The sequence below is a fragment of the Homo sapiens genome, chromosome 22, assembly GCF_000001405.40.
Source record: "Homo sapiens chromosome 22, GRCh38.p14 Primary Assembly".
NCBI classification, from domain to species: domain Eukaryota; kingdom Metazoa; phylum Chordata; class Mammalia; order Primates; family Hominidae; genus Homo; species Homo sapiens.
Window position 1 is genome coordinate 47,715,599 of NC_000022.11, and position 26,902 is coordinate 47,742,500.

The 26,902-nt window shown below is 44.9% G+C and overlaps 1 long non-coding RNA gene across 1 annotated transcript in view, besides 2 other annotated features; it reads left to right on the plus strand.

Annotated features, from left to right (window-relative positions):
• The window catches only part of EPIC1 (epigenetically induced MYC interacting lncRNA 1), a 223,927-nt gene that overhangs the window by 83,925 nt on the left and 113,100 nt on the right, over positions 1-26,902 (plus strand). Inside the window, exon 8 of the long non-coding RNA NR_122046.1 lies at positions 22,836-22,978. This is a non-coding gene — a long non-coding RNA (epigenetically induced MYC interacting lncRNA 1). The remainder of the gene's footprint in view (positions 1-22,835; positions 22,979-26,902) is intronic.
• Positions 12,004-12,535: an enhancer, noted in NCBI's record as "NANOG hESC enhancer chr22:48123351-48123882 (GRCh37/hg19 assembly coordinates)". NCBI's record gives its function as "activates a minimal SCP1, AML or CMV promoter by ChIP-STARR-seq in naive H9 embryonic stem cells {active_cell/tissue: H9 hESC(naive)}" and the evidence as "EXISTENCE:reporter gene assay evidence [ECO:0000049][PMID:30033119]".
• Positions 23,978-24,587: an enhancer, noted in NCBI's record as "H3K4me1 hESC enhancer chr22:48135325-48135934 (GRCh37/hg19 assembly coordinates)". NCBI's record gives its function as "activates a minimal SCP1, AML or CMV promoter by ChIP-STARR-seq in naive H9 embryonic stem cells {active_cell/tissue: H9 hESC(naive)}" and the evidence as "EXISTENCE:reporter gene assay evidence [ECO:0000049][PMID:30033119]".

The window sequence follows — 26,902 nt, forward strand, 5'->3', positions numbered from 1 at the left end:
AATTTTCGCTAGTCATCATTCAGCTTCAGTGTCTCTATCATTTGTTTTTTTTTTCTTTTTTTTTTTTAAGTATACTTTAAGTTTTAGGGTACATGTGCACATTGTGCAGGTTAGTTACATATGTATACATGTGCCATGCTGGTGCGCTGCACCCACTAACTCGTCATCTAGCCTTAGGTATATCTCCCAATATCATTTGTATCAGTATAGCTCAACTGAAGCGCAGGGAACGTTCTCTGAGCCAGGCTGGGGCTTCTGGCGGGAACCGGCGTTCCCTAGGAGGAGCCCCTGGTGCTTATGCGGTGGAGGGTGGAGTCAGGTCTGAGGAGCCAAGGGCTGTTTGGCGGTGAGACAAGGAGAAGCAGCAGGGGGTTTAGTGTCCAGGCCTTGGGGAGCTGGGAGTCCCCTGCAGTGGGAAGAGGATGCAGGGGTGAGGCCCGTGGGACACGTGGGAGCCAAGTACAATCACAGGCAAAAGCTGGGTCTCCACCAGGCCAGCAAGCATGAGGTCACAGGTCCAGTCACCCACCCAGGTTTGCACCTTGGGACAAGGCCTCCGACCAGTGTGCGGTGGGTAGGGGGTCTCCTTTGTGAGTAACGGGATGGGAAGAGAAGCGAGGGTGGAGAAGCCACCAGAGGTGTTGACGTGGAGGCTAGGAATGGGTTCTGTTGGTCTTCCCAGCATGGGTGTGGCCGGCGGGAACTGGAGGAGTGGGCACAGGGGTGGGACTGAAGGCAGGTGTGCTGGTGGAACGGGCCCTGCCACCAGGGGCCAGGAGGGGACTTGTGATTGGGGGTGTGTGGAGGTGAGTGTGGTGTGTGGGGGCAGCGAGGTAGGTGGGAGAAGAAAGGTGGATTCTTGGCCTCAGACTCACTAACTATCAGGACTCCCAGCCAGGCTGGACCACAAGGTCCGAAAGTGGCCCCGACTGGAGTAGACGTGCTTGGAGGCTTCTGGGCAGGTGCAGCCACGATGACAGCCGGCATCAAGGCCCTTCCTCTGCAGGCCCCAGGTGCAGGCCCTGGTGGTTTGGGTTCAGGGTTTATGGGTGATGGGCGCCCAGCCCAGTCAGGTTCAGCGGGGAGAAATCCAAAGCCATTCTGAGGGGCAGGCTCCAGGCCGGTGCGAAACAGTGGGGAATGGCTTCCCGAGAAGCCACTGGAGCTGCGCCTCTTGCCCTCTGTCCGGTCCTCCTCCACACTCCAGCAGAGGGGGGTCTTCCAGGGTCCTTTCCTCCTGTGGCCTGGGCGTGCCCGTGTGCAGAAGGAGGAAGGCGAAGCCGTCCGGCATCTCGGAAATGGAGCCTCCAGGGTCTGCGTCACTCGGAAAGGCGCGGGCTTTCCCAGGCCAGAGTCTTTCAGTCCCAAAAGGCTTTGTCCACCTCCTCCCTGAGTCATTGCGGCTTTGTGTGGGTCCAGGGGCAGAGACCAGCAGGAAGGACGCTGCTCCTGCCTGCGTGAGAAGCCCGTGGTGCACAAACGCCTCTCACTCCTCTCAGTGATGGAAATCACCATCAGATAAACACCCTGGCCTCCCATTTTGCCTTATCTGCCCCACCCCCACCCCCCCCTACAGGCACACACATCCAAGCTGTTTATCACTGCACTTTTACTTACAGTAGCCCAAGGCTTCCCATGTCTAGAAGACAGAATCTCTAGCCTGGCACTTTGTACTCTGCCCTCTGATGACCTCTTCAATCCGAATCTCCTGCCAGCCTCCCGCTCTGTGCTCCAGAACCCCGAGCTGCACACAAGTGTCTCTGGACGCCATGCCCTTGCCTACTTCTGTGTCTTTGTCCATGCTATTCTCTCAGCTGGCACTTCCTCTCCGGCTGTGCACACCGGGCAAACTCCTATTCATACCACAAAACCCAGCTCTAATACTCCCTGCTCAAGGGTCTTCTTGGACCCAGAGAGGCAGAATTCATAACTCCCTGCCCTGGATCCCTGGAGAAAGCTTTGCTTTCCCCTGTTGCCCTGTGGATTGTAATCAATCCCCACTCTGAGTGGGTGGACAGAAGCCTTTCCTGAGAAGCAGGCTGGCCGTCCTGGGGTCCTGGGCTTGATGTACCTCCCGTGCAGTGCCTGGCTAGAGAGGAGGCACAGCCTGCAGAGCATCTGTTCTGGACTGAACCCCGGAGCCATCAGCAAGTTTCGGGCAAGTGTTGGGGGCTTGGAAGAAGGACGATTCATTCTGAGATTGAACCTGACATTTATTTTTCTCCCACATACACCCAGCCTTGACTTTGCAGAGAGTTAAAGCAAATAGTAATCCAGGACAGATTTGTTACATATTTATTTATTTCCCTTGAAATCTCTACGACTGCAAAGAAGGTGTTTATTTTAAAATTTAAATTGTAGCTAGCAGAGTGTTGCAGTGACTCACTTAATCACCTCCTCCACCTGACCAACTCCACCAAAATCCCTGCTGCAGCTTCCCATTCAAACACCCCCTTCACAATTGTGATTTTTCTCCGCCAGGTGACTGACAGATGGCCTGGCTGTTTTGGATGCCACTGCCACTGCCAAATCACTGATTTTGAGGAATTAAATCACAAAAACTTACCTCAAATGCAAAAAATGAAAAGGAACTCCTTCCTCATTTCCTGCCTGGTGTGGACACAGTGTGCTGTCTACACGAGGCCTTGTTACAAATCTGCACCCCGCTGCAGTTCCATTGTGCCTGCAGTAGAGAAATTCCAGAGCCTGGGGACCTGGGCTCAGGCCCTTGCTCTCATGACCAGGCAGTGGCAGCGGCTCTTCCCACTAAGCTGCCCGGAAGGAGCTCCAGGGACTCTTGGAAAATGTCACTGACTTCTCCTAAGACTAGTATCACTTCTCCAAGTACCCCTAGTTTCCCTCCTTCCAGCCCATCCTTCATATAATTACCCAATATAATTGTGCACACCTGGCAAACTCCTATTTATACTACAAAACCCAACTTCAACACTCTCTCCTCAGGAGTCTTCTTGGACTCAAACCATCTGAAAGGCAAGCCTGGTGGAGTCCACTTGCTGGACAGCCGGAAGCAGCTCCTTTTGCTTTTGGTGGGAAGCTCAGACTTCCTGACAAGGTCCATGTGACCCCTCCTGGCCTGATTCCTGCCCCTGCTCTCCCTGCCCAGCCTCCTCCCTCCCACCCTGTCCCCGTGTCCCTCCAGATGGAACTATTTGGTGCATCTCTAATCATCTGTGGTGATGGAATGGTATTTTTCCATCCATCACAGATGGTATTTTGAAAATTACAGCAAAAAGAAGTTACTCAAAAACTGAAAGCAAACAGCATACAAAATATAGACTCCACTTTTTTTTTTGGAGACAGAGTCTCGCTCTATCCCCCAGCTGGAGTGCAGTGGAACGATCTCAGCTCACTGCAACCTCTGCTTGTTGGGTTCAAGTGATTCTCCTGCCTCAGCCTCCCAAGTAGCTGGGATTACAGGCACGCACCTCCATGCCTGACTAATTTTTGTATTTTTAGTAGAGAGAGGGTTTCGCCATGTTGGTCAGGCTGGTCTCAAACTCCCGACCTCAGGTGATCCTCCCACCTTGGCCTCCCAAAGTGCTGGGATTATAGGCATGAGCCACCATGCTCGGCCCAGACTCCACTTTTTATCATTAATTTCAACAGACATAAAATTACTCTGTCAATTTTCTATAAACATTTCTAAACACTCAATTTTTGTTTCCATCTCATCGAGGACTGCAACAAAGGCTGGATTGGCATAGGTCCACAGACCACACTGGGAGAAGCTCTGATCGAGAGTTCCTGGAGGAGCCGGTGTGCTCTCTTGCCCTAGGATTGCTCATGCTGTAGCCTCTGCCAGGGACCCCTCCACCCGTCGTGGGCAACCGAACTCTCACTCCCCTTCCAGACTCGGTTTCGGAGCCTCCCCTCCTCCAAACATCTTCCTGGACCTTGTCCAAGTCGGGTGCCTTCTTCCCTGTCTGTTTCACTGTTGCTGGCCTCTACCCAGCACCTCATCCTGCCTGTGGGATAGCGTAGGTGCTCGGCAGTGTATGTCTTGAGTGACTAGACCTGTAGTAAATGCAGGAATGTGAAGATGCTGCTTTATACCAGTGCTTCTCCAAGTGCGGGCCACAGATCTCCATGTGAGTCCGACCACTTTGGGTTCCACACTCACTCGCGAGGGAATTCTTTCATGGCGTGATCTAGGGAAGAACACACTTGGCTCCAGAGAATCTAGAGATGATTTACAAAGACATGTGGTGCGGTTTGCTTGCAGGCCAGGAACTGATGTCTTGCTTTCTGTGTCCATTTGTTGATTCTAACGAGAAACGTTAATGAGATATCCCTCAGCAGATGGTAGGTATGGTGGCATCAACACAGTTTTACACTGAAATCCTTAGGCTCAAAAGGATAAGGCAGAGGCAGAGGAGATAGGAAAAGGATGCAGATGGAACTTCCAGAGATGAGGCCGGGCGCGGGGGCTCACGCCAGTAATCTCAGTCTTTTGGGAGGCTGAGGCCGGCGGATCATGAGGTCAGGAGTTCGAGACCAGCCTGGCCAACATAGTGAAACCCCGTCTCTACTAAAAATACACAAAATTAGCTGGGCAGGGTGGCAGGCACCTGTAATCCCAGCTACTTGGGAGGCTGAGGCAGAAGAATTGCTTGAACCCAGGAGTCAGAGGTTGCAGTGAGCTGAGATGGCACCATGGCACTCCAGACTGGGTGACAGTGCAAGACTCTGTCTCAAAAAAAAAAAAAAAAAAGAAAGAAACATCCAGGGATGAGAAGTGTGATGTGTGAGATGAGAAGCACACAGGATGGGATGAATAGCGACACTGCAGGGGAAATATTTGTCATCTTGAGGCACAGCTATAGTGACTACCCAAAATGAAACATTGACAGCAAAGAGTAATCTTGGGGACACTTTTTACTGTTGACAGATGTTCTGCTTTTTAGAGAGATGCCATTTTGTTTATCCATCCAATGGCTGATGGACGTTTGGGTTGCTTCTAGCCGTGGCTATTACAAATAGAGCAACTGTGAGGATTCTAGCACACGTCCCCATGTAGACATATGTTTGCATTTCTCTTGAGTGGATGCTGAGGTGTGGAATTGCTGGGTTTATGGCAAGCTTGTGTTTAACTGTTTAGGAAATTGACAGAATTGTTTCCAAAGTGGCTGTACCATTTTATAGTCCCACCAGTTACCAATAAGGGTTCTAGTTCTTCCCTCCTCACCAATGCCTGTTATTGTCTCCCCCTTTGATTGGAGCCATTCTAGTAGGTGTGAAATAGTATCTCTTTGGGGTTTTTATTTGCGTTGTTAAAATGTCTGATGGTGTTGAGCATCTTGTCATGTGCTTTAAACCGTGTGCACATCTGCACCAGTGAACAGTCTATTTGAATGTTTCCTTTTTTAATGTTTTTAGATTGGGTTGTTTTCCTTCTTATTAATTTGTAACAATTCTTTATAGAGTCTAGATACAAGTCCATTATCAAATATATGATTTGCATGTATGTTCTCCAGTCTTTGCTTTGTCTTGTCATTTTCTTCATGATTTCTTTTGAAGAGCAAACATTTTTATCTTTGAAGGAGTCTGATTTATCAAATTCTTTTTTATGGATCATGCTTTTGGTGTCACATTTAAGAAATCTTGGTCTCATCAAAGGTCACAAAGATTTTCTCCTTTTGCTTCTAGAAGTTCTAAAGTTATAATTATTACATTAAGGTCTATGATACATTTTGAGTGAATTTTTTTTGCATATGGTGTGAGGTAAAGCTCTAAGTCTTCCTTCTCCACCTCTGTTCCTTTTCCACTTCTTCTTCCTCCTCCTCCTCCTCCTTCCTGTGGATATTCTATTGTTTCAGCACCATCTATTGGAAAAACTCTTCTTTTTCCATTTAATTGTCTTGGCACCTTTGTTGAATGAATCATAAATGTTAAGGACTCTCAATTCTGTCTCATTGATCTGTATGTCTATCCTCACGCCAATATCCCATTCCCTTGATTGTTGTAGCTTTAAAGTAAGTTTTGAAACTGGGAAGAGTAAGTCCTCCAACTTTGTTCTTCTCTTTCATAATAACTTGCGCTGTTCTATGACTTTTGTATTTAAATACACGTACTAAGATGAATACATCATCATATAAATAAAAACCTGCCGGTATTTTGTTTGGGCTTACATTGGATCCATGAATCAATTTAGGGGAGAATCACCATCTTAACAATGTTGAGTCTTTTAATCCATAAACATGGATGTCTTTATTTATATAGATCCTGAATATATCTCCAGAGTACTTTGTAATTTTCAGTGTACAAGTCTAGCACTTTTTAATTAAATGTATTCCTAAGTAATTTATTCTCATTGATGCTACTTTTGAATGGAATTAGTGTTTTTAAATTTCATTTTTAGTTAGCTCGTTACTCATGTAGAAATACAATTGACTTTTGTATCTGAAATTGTATTGTATGACGTTGCTAAATCTGTTGATTTGCTCGATTGGGTTTCTGATGTTCCTTAGGAGTTTCTGCACATAGGATCATATTGTCTACAAGTTAAATACATAAAAAAATTGGCAGAAGTAAATGGAGAAATAGACTCGAAATCATATGTGGTGATAACACCCATTTTTTGGTGTGATAGAAGTAGACACAAAATCTTTAAGGATACAGAAGATGAGCACAAATCTATCAACAAACCTGATGCAGCTGACATTTGTAAAACACCATATTCAACAATCACAGATACACGTTCTTTCCCTGTGCATATGAAAAGTTCGCCATGACAAAACAATCATACATTGTGGCATAAAATGTGTTTCAGTAAATTCTGTCGGAATGAAACTTAAATGATATGTTTCTTGGTCACAATAAAATGTAATACAGGGAAGGAGCACTTTACAAGTCATTTTAATAACTTGGTGCAAAAGTAATTGCAGTTTTTGCCATTACTCTCAGATTTTGCTTTCAATGGCAAAAACCGTGATTATGTTTGCACCAACCTGATATTATGAGAGCAAAGCCTGATAAAGACACTGCAAACAAATTAGAAATTAATAAAAAGAAAATACCCAAATAGTTGGCAATTAAAGTAAAAAAAAAAAAAAAACCCATGAGTCAAATAAATCATAGTGAAAATTAGAAACTATTTTGAACTAAATGAAAATAAAAGCATATCTAAACTATGAGCTGGAGTTGAAACAATGGTTAGAAAGAAATCTATAAATTTTAATGTGTAATTAAGAGGGAAGAAAGTTTTAAAGCTAATGATCTACCTTAAGAAGCTAGAAAAAGAAGAAAAAAATAATGCCAAGGAAAAGAGGCTAATAAAAACAATAAAAGTTAGACCAGGATTAAATGAAGGAGAAAACGTGCAATTAAAAAATTAACAAAGTTCAAAAAGTTATTTGAAAAGGCTAACAAAGCCAGGTGCGCTGGCTCATGTCTATAATCCCAGCACTTTGGGAGGCTGAGGCGGGCGGATCATGAGGTCAGGAGACCGAGACCATCCTGGCTGACACAGTGAAACCCCATCTCTACTAAAAAATACAAAAAATTAGCTGAGCGTGGTGGTGGACACCTGTGGTCCCAGCTACTTGGGAGGCTGAGGCAGGAGAATCGCTTGAACCTGTGAGCGGAGGTTGCAGTGAGCAGAGATGGCGCCACTGCACTGCAGCCTGGGCAACAAGCAAGACTCCGCCAAAAAATAAAAATAAAAATAAAAAAGGCTAACAAAATTGGTAAGACCTCAGCAAGACTGATAATAAAGAACACACACACGCACACACGCACGCACACACACACACACACACACATAGAGTGAGGTAAGGGAACGGAAAGCTGCTAATACACAATATCAGAATGAAAGAGAGGATATTACTAAGGGATGCACAGATGTTAAATGGATATTGCTAAAATCTTGATGTTGGTAATTTTTACAACTTAGATTTAATGGATAAATTTCTTTTAAAAAATAACTTACCAAAACAAGAAGAAATACAAAATCTGAAGAGCCCTAAAGCTATGAATACATTGAATTGATAATTAAATACCTTTTTTACAAAAAAGCTCTAGGCCCAGGTAGCTTAAATGATGAATTTAACATCAAACTAAGAAGTATTACCAATCCTATACACTCTATTTCAAAAATGAAGGAAAAGGAAATATTCACTTTTAAATCATTTCATACCAGTGTAACTCGGATACTAAAACCTAACAAAAATATTACAAGAAATAAAATTATAGCCCAATAATTCTCATCAACAGAAACACAAAACTCCTAAGCAGGACATTAGCACATAGAATACAGTGATAAATACAAGCACACTATGCGTTACTAAATGGGGTTTATTCTGGAAATGCAATGTTTGTTTAACATTCTAAAATCAGTTAGTATAATTCATCACTGTAGGGCCCCCCGGTTCCCCGCTCTTTCTTTCTGTGTCCTGACCAAAAGTCATGGAGTGCATTGACCACTCTGTGACCCAGCCAGGTGCAGGTTTTCCCCAGCAGACTTGAACCCAAACCAGGCCCTTGAACATTCCTGGGCACTGATAAAGGTATTTAGGTTATTGCCCAAAACGATGAAAGAAACTGGCCGTGGCCCTGAGTCAAATTCCTTAAGCCCTCATGAAAACCCCATGCCTTGTCCCCCTCGCTGAGGACATACTTAGGTAGAACACCTCTTTTCTCTCACTGCCTGTCTCTAGGAGTGCTGCAGCCCTCCGCAGTTAAGTTCCCCATTGCTGCAGCCCTCTACAGGTAAGTTCCCCTAATCAATGCTTTGGGCTGATCACCCAGGCATTCTGCGCTTCTTTCTTTGGAACCCCAACTGGTCTCATCCCCAACTGGGGCTCAGTTTGGAGATGCCTTTGTGGGAACTCCCCTAAGTTGGGATGTCTTCAGCTGTGGGTTCAGCAGGATGAGACAACATATTAATAATAAAAGACATACATGAAAAACCTGCAGCTAACATCTGACAACCAAGATAAGCGACTGAGGCATAAGTCTCAGTCATCAAGGATTTTTAAGGCAGCTTTAGGGCATGTCTGGGAAAAATACTAGCCACAGACACACCTGTGGCTGTTTTTTCTGAAGAAGTTTTCAGGAGGATTAGTAGGAATACTTTTCCTTGTAGTGGGGGAAGGCCTCCAGGAAGAGGGGCATGTAGGTCTTAAGGGGAATGGCTTTTTTTCCTATGAGACTTTAGTAAATGCCCAGTAAATCTACATTTCACGTAAGATAAGATGAATGTTTGAAGAGAAAAAAGGAGGAAAGAGAGTCAGTTATACATATGTCTCTGGGTAGGTGGAGGAAATGAGTCTTGTCTTTGCTCTGCATCTGGGAAGATAAGCTTGTAATCAGCATTATCAGTGTGGAATCAAACAGATTTAGTCTGAGGAGCTAGACTTAGGTTGTAGACCTAAACTCACAATTAGCATGTCCTTGTTTATGGGAGGCAGGCAAAGAACTTACTGGTGAATGATATGTAGGGGCAGCTTTTCCAGATGCCTGCAGCCTTTTACCTTTTCCTGGGGGTGTGGCAGATGCGTGTTGCTAGTGACAGCTCTTCATCTGGAAGAGGGGGTTGCATGAGGCAGCCTCGGTGCTAAAGTTTGGGGTCTTGAGATTTTTCATCTTTCTTTACACATCATCTAACGGTGAAATATTGAGTGCTTTTACCATAAGATCAGGAGCAAGGCAAAGAGTCTGCTTTTGATCCCTTCTGTATAACATTATAGTGAAAGCTCTAGCTAGGGTTAGCATGCAAGAAAAACATACGTGGTAAAAATAAATATTTGAAAGTAAAAAGTAAAACTGTCCATGTCAACAGATATGTATGCATTATTGCTTACATAGAAATTTCTTAAGCAATATAAAACAGCAATAAAAAAGGAGCAGATTAATAAGTAAATTTAAAATTGTCACATAAAACAAATCAATATAAAGTTTGTTTCCTATTAGCAGCAAACAATTGGAAATCACATTTAAAAATAATTTAATTTATGAAAATAAAATAAGGATAACTTTAAAAATTACACATGACGTTTTTATTTGAAAAATGTAAGTCTATTAACATACCATATAAGTTTATAAAGTAACTTTATAAAGTTGAAAAAGAGTTACATAAATGGAGAGATATACCATGTTCATAGATTTGGGGAATCAATATTATCAATGTCAATTCTCTCCAAACTGATACATATATTAAATACAATTTTATTCAAAGTTAAAACTCATTTTTTGTTAGTAATAATTTGATACTAAAATTCATATTAGTATGCAAATTACATAAATCAATGGAAAATAATACAGAGTCCAGATCAACTCGTACAATATAAAATTAATTAATTTTTGACAAAGATGTCAAGGTAATTCAATGGAGAAAAAAAGTATGTTTAAACAAATAGTAATCTGACAATTAAATATCAATTTAGGAAAAAAATCAACCCTTATTTTACACCATTCACTGAAATTGAGACTATAGTCTTACATGTAAAATCTATAACTGCAAAGGTTTTAGAAGAAAACCAAGGAATCTAATTGCAATTTTGGAATAGGGAAATGTTTCTTAGCAGGATACAAAAAGCAATAACCATAAAAGAAAATAAATGGACAATTTGAGCTTCCTCAAAAGTAAAAGCTTCTTTTCATCAAAAGATACTATTAAGAAAATGGAAAGGCAAGCCACAGACTCAGGTAAAATATTGCCAATACAATATGGCAATACAGTACAAACATTTGTCCCAAGACAAATGACTTGTTTTAGAGATTACATGGGAATAGCCCATAAGTCAGTTACAGGTCCAGCAACCATAGAATAAATGATAAATGATTTAAATAGCTACTTCATGAAAGATTTGTGGGCAATAAGCACAAGAAAGGGGTTAAGAACTTCAGTAATTAAAGAAATACAAGTTAAAACCACAATCAATACTACCTCTCATCCAGAGAGATGATTATATTAAAGATTAATGGCATCAAATATTGGTAAGAATGTAGATTAATGAGAATCTCCATATGTTGCTGGTGGAAGAGAAAAAAGTATATGATTTTGGATAGGTATTGATCAGTTTCCTATAAATTTTAATGTATACCTATCCTATGATCTGGTAATTCCTGCTCCAAGAGGAATAAAAACATACTTTCTCAGAAAATTTGTAAATGAATGCCATACTAGCTTTATTTATAGTGGCTCCAAATTGTAAACAAATTTAAATGTTCATCAACTGGAGATGAACTTATAGTTTGTAGAATATTAATACAATAGTATACTACTCAGGAATAAAAATAATAATTTTTTTTTATTGGAATAAGGTGGATAAATCTTAAAAACATTATGATATGTGAAAGAAGCCAACCCACAGAGCACATACTCTGTGATTACATTTATACAGAGTTCAAGAATGGGCAAAGCAAATCAGTGTTGCTGGAGATGTAAATGATGATTGCCTATGGAGGTAGGGAGTGTAAACCAAAAATGAAATTCCAAGCCCCCCAACAGACTAAATGGACCCCCTCTTGGCCAAGGAGATTACAAAGAAACCTGAAATCCAGTTCAGGCTAAGATGGCAAGGAGCAGGGGTAGGACATACCTCATTATACCCTCTCCCTTTTTTTTTTTTGAGACAGAGTCTTGCTCTGTCACCCATGCATGACAATGGCATGATCTCGGCTCACTACAACCTTCATCTCTTGGGTTCAAGTGATTCTTCTGCCTCAGCCTCCTGAGTAGCTGGGATTACAGGTGCCCGCCACCATGCCTGGCTAATGTTTGTATTTTTATTAGAGACAGGGTTTTGCCATGTTGGCCAGGCTAGTCTTGAACTCCTGACCTCAGGTGATCTGCCCACATTGGCCTTCCAAAGTGCTGAGATTACAGGCATGAGCCATCACACCCCCCTCTCCCTTTTGACCTTGAGACAGAACTGACCAGCATTGACATTAAAATCAAGATTCTAAGACTGACAATACAGACTCTTTGTAGTAGTAAGATACCAACTCCAACCTGACTCTGGTAAGTACCACATGACAGATAACAGGTCCTAAAGGAAATAAAAGTATTTTATCCCAAAATATATTTCTGTGACATATTTTGAAATGGCCCTGCAAAGCTGTCTCTTGTGGGGAAAATCTACATTCTTTAGAGAATCTGCTTCCCTTTCCATGTTTTCTCCTAATCCAGGAGAGATTTAAATCAGAGTCTGATACTTTTAAGTTCTGATAAGAGATATCTACTATCTATTCTCTCTGAAGCCTGCCACCCAGAGCCTTCATCTACATAACAAGAACTTTGGCTTCCACAACCCCTCTTATCTTAACCCTCAAATTTCTTTCTGCTGACTCCAACACTTTAGGGAAGCTTAACTTTTTCAACCAATTGCCAGTTAGGACATTTTTGAATTCACCTATGACCTGGAAGCCCCTTAATTTGAGATGTGCTGTCTTTCTGGGTCAGACGAATGTAAACCTTACATGTAGTGATTATGTTTTTGCCTGTAACTTGTCTCCCTAAAATGTATAAAATTAAGATATAACCCAGACACCTTGGTACACGTTATCAGGACCTGCTGAGGCTGTGTCATAAGTCGTAGTCCTTACATTTGCCTCAGAATATTTTATAGAGTTTTACAGAATTAGGCTTTTTTTTTTTTTTTTCCAACAGAAAGTGACTGGAGGGGTGCTTTCTGAATGATGTAACTTTCTGAATGATAAAAAGGTTCTAATTCTTGATAGGTGTGTATATGTAAAAGTTTATCGAATGGTACAGTCAAGATCTGTGCATTTCATTGCATGTAAATTTTCCCTCAGAAATTTGAAAAAAGAAATGTGGATAGTCTGATATAATTTATCCATGCCAAGCCTACTTTTTTTTTTCAATTTTTATTATAAATTTTCCTTTGAAACCATGGCCAACCACAAACCACCAACCTGTCCCCACTCTCAATAGAAATCTCAATATTTCAAACAGCAAAATAGAGTGAGAGGACTTGGCCCTCTTCTATCCTCCCATCACCTCCCTCTGGTGATTATTTGTGGTGGGAGGAGAACTGCTCTGTTCTCCCAAACCACCAATGCACTCACTCTGCTTCCACCTATGCTGCCTTCCCTCATTGCTCCAGGAACCCGTGGAAGAAGTCCAAAAATAAATATCCTGTTTTTCTCAATGTTTTAGGTAGAATCAGTGGTTTCTCACTTGAAAGTGATCCAATGTCTTTGAAAGAAGCTTTCTTTAAAATGCAAATGCCATTATTTTCTCCACAGTGAAGGAAAGACCCTGGCTTTCCTCCCCAGCTCCAAGTGGGCTGTTCTGATTGCTTCCGGGTCCTGTCCTCATGGGGAGCAGCACCACGGGAGACTCTGCCTCTGCTGAGTTTTCTAACATTAGTGTCGGGAAACAAGAATCTGCCACTGATGCTCCTTTTGTAAAGGTATAAACATGTATATAAAGGAACACCCCAGCACACCCTTCTTGTCCTTGTCCTCTTTTTCTTCCTCTGCTTCTTCATCCTCATTTTGTCTCTTCTCTATGCTTGCTGCTTTTCTCCTTTAATTTTTCTTTTGTCTTCCTCTGTTTCCCCCCGCCCCACCCCCACTCACTGCTGCTGTTTTACACTTACTTGGCTATCTGTGGAATTTGTTTCCAGAAATATTGGAAATCAACATGCCTATGGGATAGAACAGGGCTGGATTACAGAGTAGAGTCGACAACTTTACCTCTTCTAGCCAGAATGAATAAACATCTGTTTAAACAGAAGTCTAGGAACCATGAAGAACTGGAGGAGGTTACCCAAGAGCTAAGAAACAATTGGGTGGAGTTTGGAAAGGCAGGGATTTGATAGAGTGCACAAAAGCTCCAGAGGAATGGAAATCAAATGCAAGAAGATTTTGGTTCAAGATAAGAAAAAATGTACCAAAAGGAAGACTTATACATTCATAAAATACCTGTCAGTTCCCTATTAGCAGAAGTTTTTACATTTAGAATTGATTGGAAATTTTAGAATAACAAACATTTTTAACAGCACATAAGTTACACAGGGAAAATCTGAATTCAAATGCCTCAAAGCAGGTGCAATTTTATTTATTTATTTATTTATTTATTTATTTATTTATTTATTTATTTATTTTTTACTGTCATCTGCTGGAAATGTAAGTCCACAACCACCAAGAATACTAAGATATTTTCCAAAGTGACATTATAAATCAGTAAATGGTTATGGAAAAATATCCTTTGGCCACGTTGCTCTGAGTTTAGAAACAATAATAACGGTCATAATGATAACAACAAACTTTCTAAGTTCACTGTGTGGTATAAAAATACAATGGCGGCCAGGTGTGGTGGCTCTATGTCTGTAATCCCAGCACTTTGGGAGGCTGAGGTGGGTGGATCACAAGGTCAGGAGTTTGAGACCAGTCTGCCAATATGGTGAAACCCCGTCCCTACTAAAAATACAAAAATTAGCCAGGTGTGGTGGCGCGTGCCTGTAGTCCCAGCTACTGGGGAGGCTGGGGCAGGAGAATTGCTTGAACCTGAGAGGCAGAGGTTGCAGTAAGCTGAGATCATGCCACTGCACTCCAGCCTGGGTGACACAGCGAGATTCCGTCTCAAAAAAAAAAAAAAATACAATGGTTTTGTTTTTTTAAAACAAGATATCACAGTATACAACCTATAAAATGTGGCAATTTAAAATGTTTAATGGAAAATGGTGTATGTAGGCAACTTATATGTTGCTATTCAACATTTTTCTGAATGTCCTGCCCAATGCAATCAGACAAGAAAAAAAATATATAATAAGGAAGAAACAAATTGTCTTTTCTTTTTTTGAAGGTGATATGTTTGTCTAATTCAAAGGGAAAGAAAATAAAAATAACAACACATCTGACATTCATGTCCATAAGAAAAGAGATCAGTAAGAGGGCTGGATAAATGGTGAATATTTTTTTAAAACATTTCCTTATACACGAGTCACAAGTTTCTTCCTTAAATTCTAGACTCCTGTGCAGGTACAATGCCTGTTTAATAGCACTACTTATTTCGTAAATTATTCTCTCTTTCTTCCATTCCACAGATGTTTATGTAACCCCTATTATGTGCCAGGTCTTCTTTGACTCACTAGGGATTGAGTATGACACAGATAAAAAGAAAATCCTGCCTGCATGGACCTTCCCCTCCAGTGGAGAACCAACCGGACTATTAAAAATGATATATTTTTGGTTAAAATCATGTGTGGTATATTAGGTAGTGATGCCTGCTAAGGAAAAAATAAAGTAAGGAAGGCAGGGTGCAGTGGCTCATGCTTGTAATCCCAGCACTTTGGGAGGCCAAGGCAGGCAGATAACAAGGTCAGGAGTTCAAGACCAGCTTGGCCAATATGGTGAAACCCCATCTCTACTAAAAATACAAAAATTAGCCAGGCATGGTGGCCCGTGCCTGTAGTCCCAGCTACTTGGGAGGCTGAGGCAGGAGAATCACTTTATCCCAGGGAGGCGGAGCTTGCAGTGAGCCGAGATCACACCACTGCACTCCAGCCTGGGTGGACAGAGCAATACTCTGTCTCAAAAAAAAAAAATTAAATAAAATAAAGTAAGGAAAACAGAGAGAATTGATAGAAAGAGGGTTATGCTTTTAGATGGGATGCCTGAGAAGGTCTAGGGGAGAGGGCATAGAGGTGTGAAATGCAGAAGAGCATTCTGGATAGAAGATACAAAGACCCCGAGGCAGCAGACTTCATGGCATGCTCCAGTGGCCTTGAGGGCCAGTGATATGGTTTGGCTGTGTCCCCACCCAAATCTCATCTTGAATTGTAGCTCCCACAATTCCCATGTGTTGTGGGAGGGACCTGGTGGGAGGTAATTGAATCACAGGGGTGGGTCTTTCCCATGCTGCTCTCATAATGGTGAATAAATCTCAGGAGATTTGATGGTTTTGTAAAGGGAAGTTTCCCTGCACAAGTTCTCTTCTCTTGCCTGATGCCATGTGAGATGTGCCTTTTACCTTCCACCATGATTGTGAGGTCTCCCCAGCCACGTGGAACTGTGAGTCTATTAAACCTCTTTCATAAATTGCCCAGTCTGAGGTATGTCTTTATCAGCAGCTGGACAAATACAGCCAGTGTACCTGGAGTAGAGCAAGAGAAGAGAAGAGGGGTAGGAGAGGAGGTCATTCAGGAATCTGGGTCACTGTGAGGATGTTGCCTTTGTCATGAGAGAGATGGGATGCCACTGGAAGACTCTGAGTCGAGGAGTGACCTGATTTCTACTTGACATTCAAGACAGACTTCTTGACTGCCCTTCACCCACACTCCAAAACTTGCTCCTTTCCCGGTATTTCCAGGTAACAAGTGGGTTCTCTTCTCTCTTCGCTGGTCACTCCGGCCATGATCCTTGGAGCCTTTCTCACACCTCTCCTCTTCTGTGACAACACACCAAATCCATCATCAGATCCTGTTGGCCTTACCTTTAATACATAGCTCATCTTCTCAAGATTCCATGCTGGTCTAAGATATAATCCACTCTCTCCTGGGCTAGGGCAAGAGCCTCCTGCCTCATCTCCCTGTTTTCATTCTCACCCCCTATGCTCTGTATTTCATAGTGAAGTCACAATGATTCTTAAGAATATAAAAATCAAGGCATGTCTTTTGCATGCTCAGAATTCTCCAAACCCTTCCCATCACATCTAGAAAAAAACATCAGAGTCCTTGCTAGGTGTGTACAGGGATCCAGGGTCTTGCCCATTGCCTTTCTGATCTCAGCTCTTTCTATTCCTGCCCAGTTGGGATCCAGGGTCTTGCCCATTGCCTTTCTGATCTCAGCTCTTTCTATTCCTGCCCAGTTGGGATCCAGGGTCTTGCCCATTGCCTTTCTGATCTCAGCTCTTTCTATTCCTGCCCAGTTGGGATCTAGGGTCTTGCCCATTGCCTTTCTGATCTCAGCTCTTTCTATTCCTGCCCAGTTGGGATCCAGGGTCTTGCCCATTGCCTTTCTGATCTCAGCTCTTTCTATTCCTGCCCAGTTGGGATCCAGGGTCTTGCCCATTGCCTTTCTGATCTCAGCTCTTTCTATTCCTGCCCAGTTGGGATCCAGGGTCTTGCCCATTGCCTTTCTGATCTCAGCTCTTTCTGTTCCTGCCCAGTTGGGATCCAGGGTCTTGCCCATTGCCTTTCTGATCTCAGCTCTTTCTATTCCTGCCCAGTTGGGATCTAGGGTCTTGCCCATTGCCTCTCTGACCTCAGCTCTTTCTATTCCTGCCCAGTTTGCTTTCACTTCTGAATCCCTGACCAACTTGCAGTTTCTCAAAGACCCCAACACATTCCCTCTTTAAAACCATTTCACGTTTTTTTCTTTGTCAAGAAGAGTTCTTCTTCCTGAGTCACCAGCTCATGTACTTTCTGTCTCTGCTCGAATTTCACCTCCTTAGAGAAGATAGCCCCTGTGTTCCTATTAAATGGTCTTCCCTTATCATCCTATTTCAAGTGGGCACATGCTCCATCATGTAATCTATAGAATCAATGAACTGACCCTAAAGAATCTGGCCGGGCACGGTGGCTCACGCCTGTAATCCCGGCACTTTGGGAGGCTGAGGCGGGAGGATCACCTGAGGTCGGGAGTTCGAGACCAGCCTGACCTACCTGGAGAAACCCCGTCTTTACTAAAAATACAAAATTAGCCAGATGTGGTGGCTCATGCCTATAATCCCAGCTATTTGGGAGGCTGAGGCAGGAGAATTGCTGGAACCCGGGAGGCGGAGGTTGTGGTGAGCTGAGATCGCACCATTGCACTCCAGCCTGGGCAACAAGAGCAAAACTCCATCTCAAAAAAAGAAAAGAATTCGGTGAAATTTTTGTGCCACTTGACAAACTAATTTTAAAGTTTGTGTGGAAGAAAATTTGCAAAAAGAAGAATATATAAAATAATTTTTTTTGTTTTGAAAAAGCAAAACAAGGGAAGAGTTGTCCACAAGATATGAAATTGTAGTATGGTGTTGAAGTAATTAAATCAGCATGCTGTTGGTGCTAAAACAAATAATAAATTGAATAAATGAGGGGGAAAACACATTGATGTAAACATAAGATTTCAGTTTATAGTAAGTGTTTAAGAGAGGCATTTCAAATTCATGATGAAATAGACTGTTAAGTAAGTGATATTGGAACAAATATCTAACCATATAAGAAAGGCTAATATCGTAATAGGTGACATTGAACAGTAAATGCTAAATATTAAATCATAAACTATTAGAAGAAAATATGAATTTATGATAATCACTTGGTATCTAAAATCTTTTCCAAAACAAGGTGGAGAATTTGGAAGCCATGAGGAAATAAGAAATACAGAGATATTTGACCTAATTGAAACAAAAATAAAGTACTTTGATAATAAAACACAACATAAACAAAATTTAAAGAAGGTTTCAAACTGTGAGAAAATGATTATTCCATGCGATGTAAAAAGCACAGTACCTTTTAACTAATAAGGAATAGGCCTCCCCCCTTGGGAATGCACAAAGCCTTTGGCCAGGTAATTTTCTCTCGAAGAAATAGAAAACAATCATGAATAACATAAAAGATCACTATTATGAATAGCCATGGACATGAGAATTAATATACAAATGAAATATTTTAGCTCAACAACTCTGCAATTTTTTATTGACAATATCAAGCATCAGTGAACTTGTAGGTAAATAAGTTTGTTCAATATAACTGCAGATGATTCCGTGTAATAGAGAGAGAAGCCTCTCCTACTTTCACTCCTTGACCCCCAGACCCACGTTTTCTGGCTAAAGGCAGAGAAAGCCCCACACAGTAGTCTCTGATTCCAAGCATCTAATGCACCCTGTAAGACTTAACCCATCCTTTGGGGGTATTCTGTCCTTCTGTGCTGTCATTGAGTCTTCAGAGTGCTTGTTCACCTCATGAATAGGCCATCTGCTTCTGGGTGATGGGGTATGCGGTGAGATCAGCTAATTCCCTGGGTAGGAGCTCTTTGCTGTCCTCCTTTGCTGTGGAATGAGTTCCCTGGCCAGAGGCTGCACTGACAGGAGGGCTGTGTTGGTGGAGAATGCATTCTGCGAGCCCAGGATGTTGGTGATGGTGGAGGCATCACAGGGTGGGAAGGCGCAGCCGTAGCCACCACAGGTGTTTCTTTCTGTGAGGATGCATCTCTGTCTTGTCCGTGATGGAAGAAGTCCAGTGTCATCAACCTGCCTCCAGATGGCCAGCTGCTCCCCGCGGGGAATGGTGCCACATGGGGGCTCAATGTTGGTCTCTGCTGCTGGCAGATTGGGCACCCAGAAGTGACGTGAGCCAGGCCAGACTTGATGAGGGAAGTCCATGCCAAGTGCAGGCACAGCCTCCATCCCTGCCACCATGGCCACGGTGTTTAGGAGCCCATTGGACGATGACAGGGATGACTGGGGAAGGTGGCAGCCTTGTATCCACAGAATATGTTATCTTGTCCACCTGAGTATTAAGAATTTCTTCCAGGTGGTTGTTTTTTGGGGGCATTCATTCACATGGGACACACATATTTTCACAGTCTGTTTCCATTCTGAGAGGTCTATCCACAAACCTCTTCATAGCCAGCAATCTTCCAGTCTTGCTCTTTCCAAACCATTAGCAAATGCACACACATCAGTGTGGGTCTGTGCTTCTAGCCAGCTCTCACTCTAAACCTAAATACTGCTCGGAGCTCTGCTCACTGAAATAATTTTCCTTCCCCACTGTGCTCCAGGGTCACCCTGAGTCGGGCAATTGTGCTCCAGCTGTCCACTTTCAGGGGTAGCAGGAGATCATGCAGCTCCATCAGTATGTTCAGCTGAAGTTGGTTCTTCCTCAGTTGGTGTAAGAGACACCTTGAGAAGCCGTAGGCATGGCTCCTGGGGTCGGGGGAGGCAGTGCCTGGTGAGTTGGAGACACCTGCTCACCTTACATGTACCTTACAGACATGCCTGGACGCCGTCTCTCATGCACCATTTCCATTTGACAATACATTGCTGCTGCCCACACCCAATCTACCCTGGGTCTCAGGGGATGAAAAGGGGTCTTCTGGGTAGACAGATGTGGTGAGGGAACTCCAAGTTGGAGCACAGTCACGTTGCAAAAGGACAGGGGTGTGGGGGCCTGGTTTCGCGTAAGACCTGGCTGCAAAGTTGGACAATGAAGACTGGGAGCCAGATGGGCCTGTTAAAATCCATCCAGGCTGTGGCACCATCATCTGGACAGTTAGGTATGAGGGGGATTTGCAGGGGGTGCGGCTGGGTTCAAATCAATTCGGTTCAAATCAATTCGGACCTCTTGGCCAGCCCTTCAGTTTGACAGCTGGGGACAAGGGACACTAAACTGGAGTTTGCCTGTGGTCCTGCCTGGGAGCACAGGGATAGCCTAGGTGGAGACAGGCAGGGAAGCCTGTGGCCACCTGGACCTCTTGCTCACCATCTCTGTTCTCAGTAGCTCCGTCTCAGAAATGAGAGGTAGCGTCCACCCCATCAGCTGACCCCCAGCCCCCACTGCAGTCATTTGAAACCAGGTACTACAGGTGGGCCAGGAGGTCAGCTTTTGAGGTTTTGTGAGAAAAACATTCATACCTGCTACTCCCTCATGGCACCAGAGAAAGTGGAATATTCCATTTGTACCCAATAAAAATACACCAGCGTTCTCATCCTAACACACCCCGCTGAACACTCTCCCTGGAGAGCGAGATGAGCAACCTGCTGGCCTGGTTTGCTGAGCAGGACGGTGCTGGGTACATGCATGAAGGTGCAGGACTAAGGATGACACACCCCCGGGCGCTTCCAACCACTTGGCAGTTTGCCTCATATAGGATCCCAGTCTCGTCTCAGAATAAGAGTGATTTCACTGAAATTTGCTTGGCTTATCCTCCAGTCAGGCCCCAGCAGCAGCAGGGAGGTGCTGAGCCATGCTCTCCTTCTCCCGGGCTCTGTCCTGGCAGCTACATCACAACTCCAAGGAGAGATGGCTGAGTCCCTTTCCCTGCTGGAGTTAGGGTGGTCTCTGACCTCTGCCTTTTAATTCTGGGTGAGTCAGGAGGATAAATTGAGGGGTAAATCTCTGTGTAATATGAGCTCAATTTATTGCTGGTATGAGTCACACTTAGGTTGCATTTAGGAAAAAAAAAGTAACTGGAGAGTGAAAATTGAATTAGATTTCTAGAAATTCAGGTAAAACAAGAGAACAAGGATGCAAGGAGGTTGGGTCCGTGAGTGGCGCTGAGCAGGGCAGGCGAGGCTCTGGCCTGTGGTCAGGGAGGCCCTGGGGACCACGCACAAACTTCGAGCAAGAGCGTCAGGAAGCAAGTCAGGCAGTGTGGGCAGGATGGATCTGGAGAACCTGGGGCGCTTTAATTTCACCCCTCAGCTCCTAAATGCAGCCTCACCAGAGAGGGGAGAAGGAAAGTTTCCAGATCATCTGCTGTGTTCCAGTCCCCTTGGTAGATATTTCCATATTTGATAGGTCATCGATATGGTTTGGCTCTGTGTCCCCACCCAAATCTCATCTTGAACTGTAATCCCCATGTGTCAAGGCAGGAACCTGATGGGAGGTGATTGGGTTATGGGGATGGTTTCCCATGCTATTCTTGTGATAGTGAGTCTCAAAAGATCTGATTGTTTTAAGAGCGGCAGTTTTTCCTCATTCTCAAACACCCTCCCTCCCGCAGCCTTGCGAGGGAGGTGCCTGCTTCCCCTTTGCCTTCCACCATGATTGTAAGTTCCCTGAGGCCTCCCAGCCATGCCTCTTGTTAAGCCTGTGGAACTGTGAGTCGATTAAACCTCTTTCCTTTATGATTACCCAGTCTTAAGTCTTAGGTAGTATTCTTTATAGCAGTGTGAGAACAGACAAATACAATCATCCTTGCCACAGTGTCTCAGTTGCTTCAATTTAGGTATTATTCATTTCTCTTTGGAGTAAACTGAGGGAAAGAGAGGAAGTAACTTATCTGTGGACACACCAGTTTCAGGTGAAGGGGCCAAGATGACATCCAGGTGTGTTTGGCTCCAAAAATATCTCTCTGCACAGCTCCAGGTGGCGCCTTCTCCCTCTCTCTCTTTCTCTCTTTCTTTCTTTGTCTCTCCAGTATTCCCCAAACATTTGTATGGACCTGGAACTCTCATTAGTCTTTTTCCATCTAGACCTCAGGGTGACTTCTCCCTGGACATACCTCTTCCTTCTCTACTCCTTCTCCAAAATCCATCACTTGGCTTAAGTTGGCAGAAGACACGTTCCTCCTCCTCCGTGTGGTCGGTGTGCTAGAAATACAAGCTTCCTACAGTTCCCTCTAAATGAATCTCTCCTTTTAATCTCTTACATGGCCCATCATCCTGAGTTCTCTAGCCTGGAGATGGATAATGGATGCAGGTGTGTTGAGAACCGCTTCTCAGCACGTTTTCATGGTTGGCTGGTACCTCTGAATGCAAGGTGGAGGACGTAACACTCTGAGTTCTTGGCCGCCATTCTGGGAGAGGACCCGTCCCATTTTAGTATGGGTTACACGCACATTTGTACCAAGTTCCCACTAGAGCAAACTCCTCCATGCTGGAGGATGGTGTTACTTCATGTTGGTTTTTATTCTGTGTCCCTTGTTCACACAGTGGGGCATTCCAGACAGGGAGGCCTCGATCTGAGTGGCTGGAGGGTTGGGTTGTTCTGAGCACAATCTTGTAGGCAGGAGGGGGCCTGATGCTTCTGACTTCTGAGCCCTTGTTTTCAGAGAGCACAGGTAGTATTGTTCAGCGTCCCAGTGTGAAAAGTATTTTTAAATGTACTGGGTGAGGAGTACAATTGTTATTCAGACACAGTCTATTTTCCCCCTTGAAAGACTGCCTCTGAACACTGAGTTATTTTCCTGCTCTTTTTCAGTAAATCAAAGGTTTCGCCATCATGTAAACCCTTGGGCGACAGAGTCTACCTGTCTCCCCCTGATATTGTTCTATGAGATTTCGATGCTATCTTCATTGCCAGCAGCCCTGACAAAGATGCACTGCAGACGGATAGCCTCTCAGGTGAGATTAGATTGAACCCTCCTTATCTCTTCATTGTGGTTTCATCACTTTCAGGAGATGCTCTGTTGTGAGACCTTGCTTTGTTGTTGCTGTTCTTAAAGGGAACACTCCCTTTGTTAGGAAAATCTGACAGCTGGAAGCCGTGAGTTCTTGGCCCCTTGCCCTGAAGCAAGAGTGACCAGGCCTCTCTCCTGAGGGAAGGCCTTCCCAGGTGGGGACATAGGCCCTAAAGTGAGAACTGAAGCATTGTCCACTCCCTCTTTGATGCCACATGCATGGACGGTTCAGTGAATGTCGTGGGAACTCAGCTGTGCCCACCCCTGCTTTGTTACCCCGGCACTTTGGGAAACAGCAGAGTCCAGCAGAAACCACTGAAGTTTTGGGCTCGGAGGGATTCCAGTTCAAGCCCCGGCTTCACCACCTACAAGGTTCAATTTTGGTCTAGGAATGGAACTTCTCTGAGTCTTAGTTGCTGTCATCAATATTATTTTACTGTCATCATTATTTATAGTAAAATAATAACCTCTCAGACTCGATAAGTCTATTTGCGTGCCTGACACAGTGTTATGAGGTTATTATGCCTTATTTAATGCCACCATCCCAGGTGGGTAAATTAGTATCATTCCATTTCATAGTTGGAGCAGCTGAGGCTCAGGGAGATTAATAATTTGTCCAAGACCCCACAGCTAACAAGTGGTGGTTCTGGAAGGAAACCAGGGTGGCTGCTCCAAAGCTGCCATCAGCCTGGGCATCTGCCAAGGTGCCGTCTCTACTGGGGCAGCCGCCACCTCCCAGCACCTGGAGAAAATGTAGCAGGCTAGTGAGTGGGGTGGGAGGTGGGCCCGTGTGGCTCACTCCATGCATGAAAAACCCGTAAGTGACAAATGCGTACGAAGCAGCGCTTCTCAGCCAGCTGGCCGTCACTGTCTGCAGATTGCCTGGCATTCGCCTTCTCAGAAGAATGAGTCTCAGACCTCAGGGTTCTGAGGTTCTGTGTTGATGTGGTGGCTCAGCTTTGCTTGGGAGGTTTCAGAGGCTTTCTGTGAGCTGGGCATTGCACACTTGGCGCCTGTTTATGTATTTAACACTTGTGGAAATCCTTTGAGGATTGAGGTCGCTGGTCCTCCCTTCTGAGTGTGACCTTTGGGGTGAATTTGCTCCAGCTGTTTTCAACCTTGTTACAAAGCCCTGCAGGGAGAGGCTGAGTTCAGTCAGTCCCGGAGGGAGGGGAGCTGGGGGCATCAGGGATGGGCCTGGCAGAGCAGTGGGTGTGGAGGGGCAGGTCCGGGGGAAGCCAGTGTGGGGCAGGAGGCTGGGCACCTCAGGGCTCCTCAGCTTCCTCCCCACCCAGCTCCGGGGGATGCCTCCGTGGCAGAACTCCTGGGTATGCTCAGGACCTGCTGGAGTCCAGAGAGGCCGGGGTGGTTTTCCAGTCTGCAAAGCCCATCCTGAGGTGGAGACTGATGCTTGAGATTCTCCACAGCTGACCTTCTCCAAGGTGGCTGGGGCCATTGAGCCCCTGGCAGGGCACTGGGGGCCTCTATGGGCTGACCAGCTCTGCACCCACCTCGCTCCACCCCTCAGCTGTGCCTTATCAGGACAAACTGCTGCTAGCTCCCGAGATGTCCTTGGATCTGTGGCCTTCTCGCCCCACACTCCCTATTCTGGCTGTGTGGAACCCTCTCCCCATCATTCCTCACTGGGTCTGTTCCTCCTCCTCCAAGTCGCTCATGGAACAATTATCTACGGAATGCTCACTCATGCTGGTCATCAGGGTGCAGTAGCAGTAACGCAAGCAGCTGCCTCCAGAGCCCAAATCCTCCAAAGCTCCTCACCCAGCCCAGTGCCTCCTGGCTGCAGGTAGGGCCAGGGCCAGCTCATGTCCGTACCCCACAGCGAGCCTTGCTTGGAGCCTGACAAACCCTCCATGAAGGTCTTTGAGTTGAATGGGGCTAGTCCTTAGCAGGCAACCCCCTGCTCCTTGAGAGCCACACCATTCTCTAAGCTCACTCTCTGCAGCCAAGCTCTGCCGAAGGGCTAGAAGGATGGCCAGGACCCATCCCAGATACCCAAGTGATCCAACAAGGCTCCTGTGGGAAGTGGGGCTGGGCCAGGGGATGCTTTTGCAACTGCAAACTCAATGTGCAGCTATGTCTTGGCAACTCCTGCCTGATGCTGCAGAGCCCCGGCATCTCACCTGCCCCTGCCCAGTCTCTACTTTCTTCCCACATGGACCTCTGTGTGTGGCATGTATATGTGAGTCCAGACACAAGCGCGCTCTCTCACAGCACCTGTGCTGGGCAGGTAGCAAAACCTCCGAGGAATGCGCAAATGCCTTTTTTCAGCTCCTGCTCTGCTGACTACGATTCAATATCCATGTCCAAATAGAGCAATGCAGTTTTCCCTTCCTTCCAGCCCTCCTCTGAAGAAGAAAGCTCTTTTTCCTCTTCCTCCCTCCTCACCATTGCTTCCCTCCTACGTTTAATAAGCTAGTGGGTTACTTACTGCAACCACCTTTTGTTTCCTAACCAGAATCAATTTTCTTTGCTTTTCTCTGTTCCCATTAATTGTGATTCATAGGAACTTAAAAGGCTCTCATAGCAGCATTTATATTTGGAAGCTGTAAATCTCAGAAAGTAACTTTCTCTTGGGATACATAGACACACACACATCCTCCCTGACCTGCGAACAGCACTTTAGAGATTACAAAGCCTTTTCACAGTGACTGCCACATTTGAGTGTCCCCTGGCCCCAGGAGGGGTCAGGGCAGCTATTCTTCTCATTTTCTAAATAAGAAGAGAGACCTCTTGTATGTGGTGGCACAAGCTGGGGCGTGAGCCTTTCAACTCCCTGCTTTCCTCCTTCTGCCCAGAAACCCGGCCGAGAATTAGCAGCGGGGTAGAGGGCTTCCAGCTGAAGATGGGATCCAACTTCCTCCCTACTTAGTTCCTTGAGCGCAGCCAGGAGCCTCTGGGAATATCACACAGGTGACCATTTCAGCAGCAGAGCTAGGACTCTGTTGAATGGACTTGAGGAAATGGCTCCTGCTCTGAGAATTTGCAGATGTAACATGACCATCAACCTGCCCAGCCCAACATGACTGGACGCACGCCACATCCCTGAGGTGGTCAAACTCCTTCAAGGACTATCACAGCCTTTTGTAGAAGGTGGAAACAGGATTGGAGAGGTCAAGTCTTTTCTCTGAGGTCACACTACAGCTGCATCTCAGCTCAGCCTTAGGGCCTGGGCCTGTCCTGCTCTGGGGCCCTTGCCCTTGAAGTGCAGCTTGGTAACCAGTAGCACAGGGCTCTCCTCCAGCTGTCCCCTCCTGCTCTGGTCTGAGCTGGTCTTTTTCTACCACGTGGAAATTCTGGCTTGCAGATTCCTTCCTGCAGCAGTCCTCTGCTCGGAGCCCTCAGCCACTCTGCTGCTCTCACAAAGACCCTCTGGGCAGCCCTGAGAGATGGCAACCCCTCCAGAGGACCTTCCCTCTCCCACTGGACTCTGGTCATCACTGGCATGTGCGTTATTCATTGTCAGGCCTGTATTCACCCCCACTGTCTGTGCTGTGAGCTCCAGATGGCAGGGCCTGAGCCCATCGCTACCCCTCTACCTTTATAGGGCTGTTTCATATACGAATGAGTTAATATATGTGTATCAGTCAGGGTTCTCCAGAAAAACCTCTTGCTCTATCTATGTAGTGAGAGGTCTATCTACATATAGAGAGAAATTTATTTTAAGAAATTGGCTTGGCTGGGCATGGCGGCTCATGCCTCTAATCCCAGCACTTTTGGAGGCCAAAGCAGGTGGATTGCTTGAGCTCAGGAGTTCCAGACAAGCCTGGCCAACACAGCAAAACCCTGTCTCTACAAAAAACACAAAAGAATAACCGGGCAGGTGGCACACACCTGTAGTCCCAGCTAC